The sequence below is a fragment of the Homo sapiens genome, chromosome 17 (genome assembly GCF_000001405.40).
Source record: "Homo sapiens chromosome 17, GRCh38.p14 Primary Assembly".
NCBI classification, from domain to species: Eukaryota; Metazoa; Chordata; class Mammalia; order Primates; family Hominidae; genus Homo; species Homo sapiens.
This window is the reverse complement of record NC_000017.11, coordinates 48,616,286-48,628,685: the sequence shown is the minus strand read 5'-3', so window position 1 is coordinate 48,628,685 and position 12,400 is coordinate 48,616,286. Positions and strand designations below refer to the sequence as shown.

The window sequence follows — 12,400 nt, the reverse complement described above, 5'->3', positions numbered from 1 at the left end:
GGGTCTTAAGGACAGCCCAGCGCTGTGACTTTTCAATAAATAAAAAAACCCCAGTCCGTAGTAAACATGTCCTTTTAGGCCCTAATTTATATACTACAGAAATCATATACTCAGCCCACCATGCTTCATAACACCATTATTTATGGCGGGGGAGGGAATCTTTTTTCCTGAAGAGTGTATTTATGACAGGTAAAGCCAACAGCAGACTTCATAGGGCTGGCAAATTGAGAACAGGTGCTTTGCCTTAACTGTGATTCATTCGCTCAGTGCCCAGCTTTTTCGCTGGTGAGTCCGGGGAGCTCCCTCGACTTTCCCAAGCGTCCAACCTCTGCTTGGAAGAATTTGCATCGGATTTTTGTTTCCCCACTTGGGTCCTATGGAAAAGGCAGACCTTCATGCTGTTTGGTTACGGATCTGCCGGGCTGTCACCCTCGGAGAGCAGGGGTGGGAAAGGAGGGGGCCAGATGGGCGCCGGCATTGATCTTTAAAAAATCATTTTGAAATCGCCATAATGTGAAGAAATATGGCGCTTCACCCTCGTATTTCACGTGTAATGACACGAGATGGCTTCATTTGGAAAGACAAGCGGGTGGGAGTGTGTGCCTGTGTGGGAGGTGATCCGCAGCCTTCTACAAGGCAGAGGGGTAGGTGGCCAAAAAGATACGGACTCAAGTTAGAGTGGCCCCTCTTTTGCTAAAAGGACCGGACTGAGGGCAGCCTGCCTTATTAGGACTCAGAGTCAGAGAGTTGCCGAGAAATCCACCCCAATCTACCCCTGAGCCTAACCAGAGGAGAACTGGGTCTGTCCAGGGGTCACACCTCCCCAAGTGCCAGGAGAGGCGACTGCAACCAGGGCAGAAGCTGAGGAGCAGGGGCTGGGAGAGGAGCGAGGAAGCCAGTCGGTGGGCCCCGGGGGAGTCCCTGTGCAGGGCCACAGAATAGATATATATAAAAAGGGCTATTTGGAAGCTCCAATGAAGGGGTCTGCAGGGGGTAAGGCAGTGAGGGGAAGAGACTGACCATGGGCTCGCTGTCCACACTGGCCCCTATATCGGTGTTTGGAAATCTCCAGAGCAGGAGCCTCAGGTGAGAGGAGTAGTACAGGAGGGCTGAAAACTCAGCCCAGGCTCCTTCCTCTTTGGATGGAAGGGGAGATAACTTGGGACCCCTTCCCTTGCTGACTGGGGATCCTTTCCCAGGCCTCTGCTCTGGTCACACCTCAGGAAAGTGGCCTTAACCCTTTCTCCTATTTAGCTCCCTCATCAGGGCAAATTTAGGGGCCTGGGTGGTTATTCAGTGGAGAAAAGGAGAAATGGCTTCCCTCACCCCCACCCCCCACGTCACCACCACCATCTTAAATCCATCCTTCTGGCCAGAGTCAGAGAAAGGCCCAATAAATGTAAAGGCGCTCTGGTTCCTTGTATTAAACTCTTTCCTAGGCTCACGTTTCCGGGACCTGATGGATCCCTTTAACCTCAAGTAGTTTCTAATTTCAGGACAGATAGTGGATTCTTGGACACTCAGTCGTTTTATTCACCTCTCTCCTCCTCCCTCAGCTACTGAGGGGCCCAGGGAAGCTCGCAGTCATGTAAATCTCTACAAAGAGTGCAAGGAGAGCCCCCTCCAAAGCGGACAACGTCCTAAAATCCCCAACTTTTCCCCTCATCATTTTACTTCATCTCCTGTGGATTGCTGCTGCTGTTGTTGTTTAATAAACATCTTTTGTCAAGGGGAAAGAGAAGAGGAAATGAGGGCCTGCGGGGTGGAGGTGTGTGTGGGGGGACAGGAGCACCTCCTCTTCCAGTATCCTCTCGGGCCTCTATGGCTTCTCCCCGGGCTGGGGCTCTCTCCCTCCCTCCGCCCTTGCTCTCCCTCCCTCCCCGACCCGCCTGGGGAGAGGGCTCTACAGCCTGCGTCCCTCCCAAGGCAGCCCGCCGCTTCCCTCCGCCTCTCCTCCGCCCCCGCCGCCCCATGTTGAGAACTGCCCCCCTTCCTGCAGCGGGAGGGGGGGACCGGGCGGCCGGTAGCTGGGGCTGAGGTTACGTGGCCGCCGGAGCCCTGACGTGATAGCACATTGCATCAGCATAAAACAATCCATCCTCGATATGGAGTGCGGTGCGGACGGATGACAGCGAGAGCGCAGCCCCCTCGCCCGATTGATTTATGTCGGAGCTGACGCTTTATCAGGCAGTCGGAAAAACTTTGACCAATCATTTTGCAAGGAGAGCTGAGACGGGCTGCTCCACTGTACTTTGTTGGCTGAGAAGTTGAGCAGGGGGTGGGGGTGGGAGGGTGGGGGGCTGGGGGGGTCGCGTCCGAAAGCCCTCACACCGGTCCGGGTGCCACCTCTCCCTGCTTGGGCGCCGCCGCGCGAGCGCTTCCCTTCCCCCTGCAAGCGCCCGGATAATGTCTGAGAATGTCCATTTCTGGGACGCTTAGCAGCTATTATGTCGACTCGATCATAAGTCACGAGAGTGAGGACGCGCCTCCAGCCAAGTTTCCTTCTGGCCAGTACGCGAGCTCGCGGCAGCCGGGCCACGCGGAGCACCTGGAGTTCCCCTCGTGCAGCTTCCAGCCCAAAGCGCCGGTGTTCGGCGCCTCCTGGGCGCCGCTGAGCCCGCACGCGTCCGGGAGCCTGCCGTCCGTCTACCACCCTTACATCCAGCCCCAGGGCGTCCCGCCGGCCGAGAGCAGGTACCTCCGCACCTGGCTGGAGCCGGCGCCGCGCGGCGAAGCGGCCCCGGGGCAGGGCCAGGCGGCGGTGAAGGCGGAGCCGCTGCTGGGCGCGCCTGGGGAGCTGCTCAAACAGGGCACGCCCGAGTACAGTTTGGAAACTTCGGCGGGCAGGGAGGCCGTGCTGTCTAATCAAAGACCCGGCTACGGGGACAATAAAATTTGCGAAGGAAGCGAGGACAAAGAGAGGCCGGATCAAAGTAAGTTATAAAAAGTGAGGAAATACCCAGGCCGAAGGCCAGGAGGGGGGCGGGGAGGGGAAAGGCAATAAACTGCGGACAATGTGAAGGGAAACTGCGGCGGTGGCCGGAGAGCGGGCCGGGAGGAGGAGGGGAGAGGAAGGAAAGACGGAGGGAAGGGGAAAGCTGCGTGCTCTAGAAGGGGAGACTGAGGCCGCCAGAGGAGCGCTGCCCCCACTTCTCCAAGTCCTGCGGGGAACAGGGGCTCGGGGATCGACTTGCAGCTCTCTCGGCCCTCTTTCCCCCTCTCTCCCGGAGGCCCCAGCTGAAAGCCCGGCCAGAGACCGGCGACGGCCGGGAGAGGAGCTGGCGGGGGCCGGGGCCAGCGGCCAGCGAGGCCGAGAGCCGGCGAGGGCAAGGGCCGGAGCGCACTGGGCTGCCCGGGGCCGTGCGGCTGGCAGAGCTCCCCGCGCCACGCGCAGACCGTAAAAGCCGGCCAAGGGGAAGGGGGAGGGAGCTCATTAGGATTTTATTTGCGATGCAACAGCTTGGCGGAGGATTGTTCCTAGCAGATCTCGCGCTGTAGCCGCGCAGAGTCCGCAACCGGCGACAGGAGGGGCGGGGGAAGCCCAGGACGCGGTGACTGAGCCCCCTCCCCGGATGCGCCGGCCCCTCCCCGGGAGCCTTCCCTCCGGTGGCCCCTCTCCTCCTCGGCGTCCTCGCAGGGGCTACCGCTTCCTTTTCTGCGGTCCCCCGCTGCTCTCTGCGGGGCTCCCGAGCCCCAGCCCGGGCTGTCCGCCTCTTGGGGAGTCGGGGAATCGCTTCCGAATATCGGGGCATCTCGAAGGGACCCCGGGGAGAGGAGGGGTGGGGGGAAGAGAGAGTTGCAGAGAGGCGGAGAACTTTACCCTTTGTGGGTAGTTTCCCGTCACCTCCCACTCCTCAAAAGCACCCCGGCCAGAACGCCAAGTCTGGCTGATTTTCAGGAGGTGCTACTAGATGAGAAGAGAGGGTTCTCCTATTATTTATTTTTAAGGTTGAGAAGGGCTCATCGGTGAGGGAACTCAGCCTCAAACAATGACTCGCAGGCTGGTGGATCAGGTCCTCGTTTCTTACTCTTTTTGGGAAGTAGGGATGTTTTAGTCTCTCCTTGCCCTGCTAGATTTCCCATTGACGGAGTGGCCCCAGGGCCCTTTAGAGCATCCTTGCCTGCTGGAGAGTAAAGAGCAGCCCCATTCCTTGCAGGGTCCTGTCACCTCCAACCTGCCAGGTGGAATCCTAAGAGCTGGCATTTAGGGAACACATTCTTCCCCAACCCTCCCCGCACACTCCCAAACAGATCCCCCACCCTAAACCCCCAAATTCTGCCTGAAAAGCCCATTATGGCAAGGCAGCCATTTGGCTAGGATCAATTATTAACAGTTTTTTCCCTCTTTCATATTTAATGCGGCTGCGGGTCCCATCCCAGGCAATCACATTAAGGAAATAGCGCTGCAAATTGGTAAGACACGGTACTTAGTGTAGGATGAACCAAATTTTTTATATAAAAAAATCCAGTGTTTTTCACTTGGGGAGAAGGAAGCTAGTAGCTGGTGGCTGTTATTTTTAATTGGCTTAGCTTTATTTGGCAACTTTTTTGAGTTCCAGAGTAGGGGGAGAGAAGGTAAGAAGAGAAGCCTGTATATATTTTTGTTTCCTCTCTTCCACTCGGTTACCCTCTTCTCCCCTCCAGCCCCCACATAGGATCAATTAAGGCTAGGTGTGCTGTGAAGGGCTTCCTTTTACCTCCACATCACCCCTGGCTCCCCACCTTGGGACTGGAGCAATTTTATTCCCTAATTTCCCTGCACTTGCGTTAACCAAACTGTGAGCTGAGCAGGAGCTGAAAAGGAGAGAGACTATTGCAACCATAAGTTATCTGTGAGCCCCCAGTGCTCCCCTGTCCATAAGCTGGAGTTGATAAATGGTTGCAATTGCATTGCGTGTGAATTGGAGTGTGCTGGCTGTTTGTGGCTCTAAGTGCAGACCCATATTCGTGGTGTGTGGTGGTGGCAGGGGGGGAGATTTCTACGCAGACACACATGCCTGCTGCCATGTGGTCTAGAGACACAAGCTTGTTTGTGATCAAGGCAGGGGATATTGGGACTGGACTGAAGGGCTGAGAGGTCTCTTGGGGTGAAGTGACACCCCAAATGCAGTGACTGAACAGACATCTCACTTCCCCACCCAACTCCTCCTCTCACCTCCTAGAGCCAGGACCCTTCAGGTCAGCCACCCACCCCTAGTCAGCCTGGGAGTGCTGCTGGTGGGACTTCAACCATGCTGAACTCTGACCTGAGTCCTAAGCAGTTTGGACCCAAGTAGAGAAAAATTGAGAGGGAACTTGATGTAGGCAGAGCTTTGGAAGTGCTGAGGAAGCCTGGGCCCACGTTTGGCTCCATCCTTTCCACACAGCCTCTCACCTGGAGGTGTCTATAGCAATGGCTGGCCCATCTGTGACACCCTTCCTGGGAGCTTGAAGACCCAGGTGGCCTCTTCTCCAGTGCAAGATGGGGAGTGGAGACCAAGGGAGTGCCCTCTTGATCTGGGGCCCTTCACCCCCTTCCTTTCTTTGATTCTATCGCTGCTTCTCTTTCAGCCAACCCCTCCGCCAACTGGCTGCACGCTCGCTCTTCCCGGAAAAAGCGCTGTCCCTACACCAAATACCAGACGCTGGAGCTAGAGAAGGAGTTTCTGTTCAATATGTACCTCACCAGGGACCGTAGGCACGAAGTGGCCAGACTCCTCAATCTGAGTGAGAGACAAGTCAAAATCTGGTTTCAGAACCGGCGGATGAAAATGAAGAAAATGAATAAGGAGCAGGGCAAAGAGTAAAGATTAAAGATTACCCCCAGTCCTCCCTAGCTCTTCCCCATCTCACTCTTAGTTATGTGACGACTGCAAAGCCAGTGCTGTCTGGGATGTATTCAAGTGAATGGGGAAGGGAGTCTCTCTTCCAAGTCCTTTATCTGCACCTAGAACCTCCCTCCTTTCCTTTGCCCTTACCTGTCTCTCTCTTCTCTCTAGGTGTCAGGAGAAAGTTTTGTTGATTTAGAAGATAGAAATAGTTGGTTCCTAAGAATGTGATGGGCCACAAGGAAAGAGAGACCCCAGTCAAGCTCCTAGTATGCCCTGTAATTTTTCTGGGAAGTCCTAGCCCCTCACTTCCAGCTTGCCTGTTTCTTCTCTACACCCACCCAAAAGTCACCCAGGGACACTCCAACTCTACACAGCTCAGCAGACATCCACACACAGTAATGGGGTGAGCTCACAACCACCATTCAGTCAAGTGAGGTGACACTCCAGTTGCAGACCATCGCACACCAAATTTGGCAAAACAGCCCTCAGACTGTCAGGCAAGCCCGGGTTCTACCCCTAATGCAAATACCCACCAGGGAGATGTCTAGAGGCAGACTCCTGAGTGAGGTGTTGCAGCCCAAAGGCTGCAGCATTGCCATACCATTCCCATGGAGTTGCCAACTATTCTCAGGCCAAGGGCCATGGGGAAGATGGAGCAAACCTAGCCCCCAAGCCGGTGGGCTAGAAAGTACAAGAAAAGGCAGCACGTGGTTTTATGAAGCTATCTTAGGTGGAGCTACTCCCCACCTCCCACCAACATATACATTTTGTTGCAGGAAATGTTTAATTCCGCATGATGTTTCCCTCTCCTTCCAACAAAAGAAGGTCAAACTGTGGGTCGTAGAGCCTTGACAATGTTGTCCTCCTGTTCATCTGTGCACCACTTGACAGACTGTAGCTTCTCTTGCTCTCGACCGGCCCTGCATTCTTCCGCACCCTCCCTAGCTCTGAAATCAACTCTCTTCGGTCGTATCCACCTTGCACCCGCAAGTCAAGCCGCCCCTTGTAGAAAAATCCCTCCACCTTCCGTTCCCCGCTAGGTCAACCCCACTGTAGACAGGAAAGCCAGGCCAGGAGAGTCCGAATGAGAATTTATTGTGAATCGATTCCCAAGCTCCCTTCCGGGACAAGTGGTCTGGGACAGGGAGGAGCAACGGCCCCAGCGCGCAACGCTCTGCGCGTTCCTCCGAATCCCGTCGGCTTCTCGACCCACGCAGAGAAGCCCCGGGCTTGGCGGCTCTAGCCCCAGCGCCAAAGGAGACCCGCCCCAGGGCCGGGCTTGGCCTCCTGCTTCATGGGCCTGGATGCAGATCTGCGTGGCTGGTGCGTGCGCGCGCTTCTGGGAAACAGTCCCGCGTGCAAAGGAAAGGGGCAAAATGGCACCTAAGCATCAGATGGAAGCTTACTCTCTGCTTCCGTTCCTCCCCCTGCTCCCCTACTTCTCAGTCCCCTTCAATTTGTAGACTCTTGCTCCTGCTTCTCCTGATCCTGCAAGGGGACATTCCAGTAGAAGTTTTTTGCTTTGTCGGTGGCTGTCGTGAAATTGTGCTTGTGTTTCGTGATTTCTTTGGGGGTGATTGTCTCGCTTGTTTTCAGTTGTCGATTATATGGGAGGGTTCTGGGTGGGAGTGGGGAGGGCGAGGGGCCTAGAGCTCTAATTGTTTGTTTTGGAAGAAAAAAAGAAAAAGAACAAAAAATATATATCACTCTAGAAAATAAATCTCTCCTGTGTCTTATTCTGTGTTGGCTCTCTGGGCCTGACCATAGGTAGAGATCCCAGTTGTCGGGAGAAAGGCTTGGAAAAAAAAAGATTGCTGAGTCCAGGAGGTTTCTCCTTACACCCTGCAGGGCAAGGTCCCCTGCAGAGCTCTCTAGAGGTGGAGCTGAGAGCCAGTCCCAGACCCCAGGTCCCAAGACTACTGGTTAAACTGATCAAGAGCCTTCCAACAGGAGAACTGGAAAACGAGCGGGGAGGGAAGGAAATGTGGGTTGTTTGGAGAGGGCACAGGGTCTGGGGAGCAATGAGGTCCTGAAACCTCCTCATTGACTAGAGAATAGGAGGGAAGGTAGGTCTTCCTGCACCTCCTGGGGGTAGCTCTCCTCCCTCAGCCACTGAGAATGTCACCTTAGTTTGGCCGCTTTAAAATATGATGCAAGGGAGGAACACAGTAATTTCCCTCTGTTCTTCCCTGCAGTAGGGTGCCTAGGTCTAGACAGAGGCCTCCAGAGGGCTGGAATCTCTTTCCTTCCATTCAAAGGGAGCCAACGCCTTAGGGTTCTCGGCCCCCACCTGGGGTTGGAGGCTCCAGTTTGAGCCACAGGGTAGCAGCCTTGGTCTGAGGTGGGCTGGGTTGGTAGGGGCTGAGCCCTGGGTAAGCACCTCTGCAAAGGGTGGAGAGGTCATTGAGTGTGAAGCAGAAATGTCTCAGTAGAAAAATTCACCTCCCAAAAGGACCCCAGAATTAAACTCAGTTTCAAGAGGCACATTTTTGTCCCTCTCAGACTGAGGGATTTCGCCAGAGCCTCTTATGAAGATCGCAGTTCTCGGCAGCCTGCGCTTCTCATCCAGGCCTTGGGATTCCGCTTCGGCGGGCCGGCGCTCCCGAGCCCGCCTACCTCAGGAGCCTCTCCCCAACCCAAGCCGGCAACACTGCGGCCCGCGGAGACCCTGCGAGTTGGGGTAGAGTTGGGAACGAAGCATGGCCCGAATGAAGGGAGACTGCAAGTGAAAAGGCCAGGCCTACCCTCCTCCAACGAAAGGACGAACTGATCCAAGAGACGGCGGGAGGCAGGAGAAAGCGGAGCTCCGCATCAGGCAGGCCCGGACAGGCACCCTCCAAAGAGGGTTTCATTAGGGATGCAAAATGAATCTGGCTTTACAGCTGGTGTAGACCAGGCTCCTGCCCCATCCTGGGCTACCCAGGCCCAGCCGGTGCTGACAGCAAAGACAGAAGGTCGGTTTCTGCCTAAAGCAAACGCTCAGCGAGGCTGGAACAGAGGGGAGTGCTGCGTGGTAGGGGCGAGGGCGCTTGGAGGGGCCTCTGCCTGCAGCGTCTGGGTCCCCAGCCCAGGGCTGCTTCTTTAAAGACAAACAAAGGCGAAGATGCGGAGGCTCGGAAGCCGGAGATGGGGAAATCAGTTGTCATAAAAGAGAGATTCAGAGAGGGACACCGCCAGAGTGCGAGGCAGAGAGAAGCCGGGAGAGGAATTCAATGCCGTGTGCGCAGCAATAAAATAATATGACCGCTATAAAAGTTTATAGCGTATAAATTTCTGAAGGTTAAGAAACTAAACAGCAGCAAAGCAAACAGCGAGGGGAAACTTTCCGGAGCTGAGAGAGCCGCAGCTGGGCCGGGGCTCCCGGCCTGGCGGGGGAATGGGTGGGCCCCGCTCCGGCAGCCTTCACCCTCACCCGCACAGAACACGGGGCTCCGGGCTTCCGGGGCGGGGGGTGGCAGGGGGCAGAGAGGGAGAAGAGAGAAGCCGGGAAAGAACACTTTGTTGTCGCAAATGCTTCAGAAATTGCAACTGGGGCTCTTGTCTTTGTTCTTCACACCCCCTCCAGAATCAGGCGTCGGAAACGAGGAGCCTCCTGCGCGCGCGCGCACACACACACACACACACACACACACACACACACACACACACACACTCAGGTCCGGCGGGGCCAGACGTCTGGGCGCGGGCAGCCTCTTGATTCTTTTACAGTCTCATCCTATCCTCTCAGGCCTCCTCTCCCCCGACAAAAAGCCCAACTGTTTCTCCTCAGAATTTGAAACAATCGCGTGGAGTTTGAAAACTGCTCGGTCCCCCTTTTTACAGGCCATAAAGGGCGCACTGCTTTGCGGTCTCCGCTAGAAATTAGGGGCAGGGGTGGGAGGTGTACGTAGAAAGAAAAAAGCTTAGGGCTTCTTTTTTTTCCTCCCCTCTGTTGTGTTTTTTTTCTATTTTTTAGCTTATCTACACAATTTCATGAACCGTTTCCTGATTCCGATGCCCACTCCCTATCCCTCCCCTTTTACTGCTAGTTATGAAAGTTTCTCCTGCTGGCCACCTCTGCGGCTGCTCTCCCAGAAAACTGGTGGAGCCGGTGGCTGCGGCGCCTTTTCGCAGAGCAGCCGCTAGATGGCACCCTTGCTCCATGTGAAACTCCCTGGAGCGGCAGCTGCGGATGTCTGCTCCCGGCACCGCGCCTTGGTCGGCCCTGAATCCAGGAACTGAGTGCTACCAAAAGTCATGAATAATTTGTACCTAATAAAAAAAATAGGGCTCGTTATGGCCTTACCCCCATTTTATAGATTTCAGTTATAGTAGTGTTCCCCCATCTCCTCAAATGGTCAATTTTCTGAATTTTCCCCAAGAGGAGGGCTCAGTGATTCTCACCCAGTTGCTGTGTTCGGTGGGGCAACAAATGCGTGAAAACGGGGAATAATAGTAATAATAGGAATAATGGGTCCAAATCCAAAAGGAGAATTGATTCGAAACAACGAGATTTTCCGTGAAAGGAGGCGAAAGGAATGTCCCTGGATGCGGGTCAGCAGGTCAGGTGAGAGGGGCTAGCCGGCAAAAGAAGGTAGGATGGAGAGGAAGCTGCCCATCGGCTGGAGAGAAAATCACGTAAGCCAGCCCGAGACCCCCCAGTTTGTGTGTGTGGGGGAATGGAGCCATAGCTTTTGTGGGGATTCGGAGATGCCCAAAGCCGGCAGGGCGGCTTCGCACGGGCGCAAGCTCTGGAGCCTTTGTATGAGTCCAGGGCTGGGCTGGGCTCGCGCAGGGCGACCTAGGCACGGGGCAGGGGCTCCCCAGGGCAGCAGGGTGCGGGAAGGCTCGGATGTGGTCTCTGGATGCTTTGCGCGCTCCCAAAGAATGCGCGTTTTCCCATGGGCGCGAAGGCGGGCGCGGCGTCAGGACGCAGGAGCTCTGTTCTCCCTGGGTTCCTGGGCTTCCAGGTGAGAGGTGCGGCTTCAGTGCGCCTTGGCCCTGGCCGCAGGCAAACCTGGGGGCGCCGGTCCTTTCCTCATTGAGCAGCTGGAGGTCTGGACTCCGGGCACTTTCGTTCTGAGACCCGCACCCTGGTTGTTCACAGCCCCTTGCATTCCAAATCTCCTGTGTCCTCCCGGCCCCGCCGGATCCCTGCCTTCCATCCGACAAACCTGCGCCAGCAATAGATACTCCCACCCCCTCAAAATCACCCCAGCTGCAGCCTCTCCTCTCCCCCACCAGGACTTAGTGCAAGGAGGTAAGCGGAGTTTCTCCTCAACTTGAGTTTCTCTAATAAATCTGCGCTCCGCTGGGTGTTTATAAATTGTCTCCTCGCTCTTTCGTTTTTTTTTTTTTTTTTTCCTATAACAGAAACATTTTCCTTCCATCAGGAATTTCTGGCACGGTGTAGAGATGATTTAGAACAAGCCATTGAATTTGTACCTCGCCGGTGAGTTTTCAAATAATGACCATAAAATCCTCTGCACTTGATAAAAATGTTTGCTTCGGCAACAATTTAACTCGGCCCTCCGTTGCCTCACGGTCCCCTCAGCCACGCGCTGAAAATTCAAAGCCCTGGTTCTCTCCATTCCTCCTCTTTTCCTTTATCTCTCTCCCGCTTCTAGCCCCTCTCTCATTCTCTAGGTTCACTTTTGAAGAACCAAATGACCTCACTGGTAAGGTTCCCTTTGGAAAAGTGATAGTTTCATTTTTACAAATGTTGGGGTGTATGGGGTCCCCAAAAGGTGCCCGTCAAAAAAACAAACCACTGTTTCCTGAATAAACAATGGATTGAATATATTTGTAAAGCCTCCACTTTTGTTGCTCAAAATTTTCTTTCTGTCTCTCATTCCTCTCCCTTGCCAATCTACTGCTACAGGAGGCTACTGGTTCTGACCCTCAGACTGGGGCCTTCTAAAGCCTGGCCACCACCATCGTGAAGCCGGGTAGGCAGGGAACGCAGTGGCCACAGAGTGTGGCACCCAGTCAGCTTGTTCCAGCTTTCCGTGTTCAGACCTCTGGTTCCCAGGTCTGCAGGGAGAGCCAGGTTTAACTACAGGCTCCCCAAGGCGAAAGGAGAGAAAATGGGAGACTCAGCAACCTTGCTTTATCTGAATTCCACACCCAAGTCAGTTTAGGTGGTGACAGTGGCTCAAAAGGTCTTGGGGACACTGAGGACTAATAGATGCCCTCCCAACACATACTCTGCAGGCACTGCCTAGGGTGGCTGAGAGCATAGGACAGCGGACACGAAGGCCAGGTGCCAGGGCCTGATACCCAACCTTCTTTCCTTTTGATGCAGTGATGGGCTCAGTGGTCCCCTCTCACCCTTAGGCACTGCAGAAGGTGTGGGGGTCGGCCTGGGAAGGTTGGGAGCTATTAATAATTGGGCTTGGCTACTGGGTCCCAAGGCCTGGGTGCAAGTGTCGGGTAGCCCATTGGGGCTTCATCCCTCTGATGGCATCAGGCCCTCTCCCTTCATGCAAAGTCTGCCCTCAAAAGTGCTGATGGGCTGAAGGGCCTTCAGGAGACCCCCTTTTCAGCAAGCAGAGAGTGCACAAACCTGCAGAATCGGCAGTGGCAGCTCGAACTTTGCTCTGTGCTTCAAC

The 12,400-nt window shown here is 55.0% G+C and overlaps 1 protein-coding gene across 1 annotated transcript, besides 3 other annotated features; it reads left to right on the top strand.

Annotated features, from left to right (window-relative positions):
- Positions 1,232–1,387: a silencer, noted in NCBI's record as "fragment chr17:46704661-46704816 (GRCh37/hg19 assembly coordinates)". NCBI's record gives its function as "represses an EF-1alpha promoter that drives an FKBP-Casp9 reporter gene in an ReSE screen in K562 erythroleukemia cells {active_cell/tissue: K562}" and the evidence as "EXISTENCE:reporter gene assay evidence [ECO:0000049][PMID:32094911]".
- Positions 2,328–7,530, top strand: HOXB9 (homeobox B9). The gene is made up of 2 exons (NM_024017.5): positions 2,328–2,933; positions 5,551–7,530. The coding sequence occupies exons 1-2, from the start codon at positions 2,417–2,419 to the stop codon at positions 5,784–5,786; spliced, it is 753 nt and encodes a 250-aa protein (NP_076922.1). The 5' UTR covers positions 2,328–2,416; the 3' UTR covers positions 5,787–7,530.
- Positions 2,798–3,475: an enhancer, noted in NCBI's record as "H3K27ac-H3K4me1 hESC enhancer chr17:46702573-46703250 (GRCh37/hg19 assembly coordinates)". NCBI's record gives its function as "activates a minimal SCP1, AML or CMV promoter by ChIP-STARR-seq in naive H9 embryonic stem cells {active_cell/tissue: H9 hESC(naive)}" and the evidence as "EXISTENCE:reporter gene assay evidence [ECO:0000049][PMID:30033119]".
- Positions 10,653–11,176: an enhancer, noted in NCBI's record as "H3K4me1 hESC enhancer chr17:46694872-46695395 (GRCh37/hg19 assembly coordinates)". NCBI's record gives its function as "activates a minimal SCP1, AML or CMV promoter by ChIP-STARR-seq in naive H9 embryonic stem cells {active_cell/tissue: H9 hESC(naive)}" and the evidence as "EXISTENCE:reporter gene assay evidence [ECO:0000049][PMID:30033119]".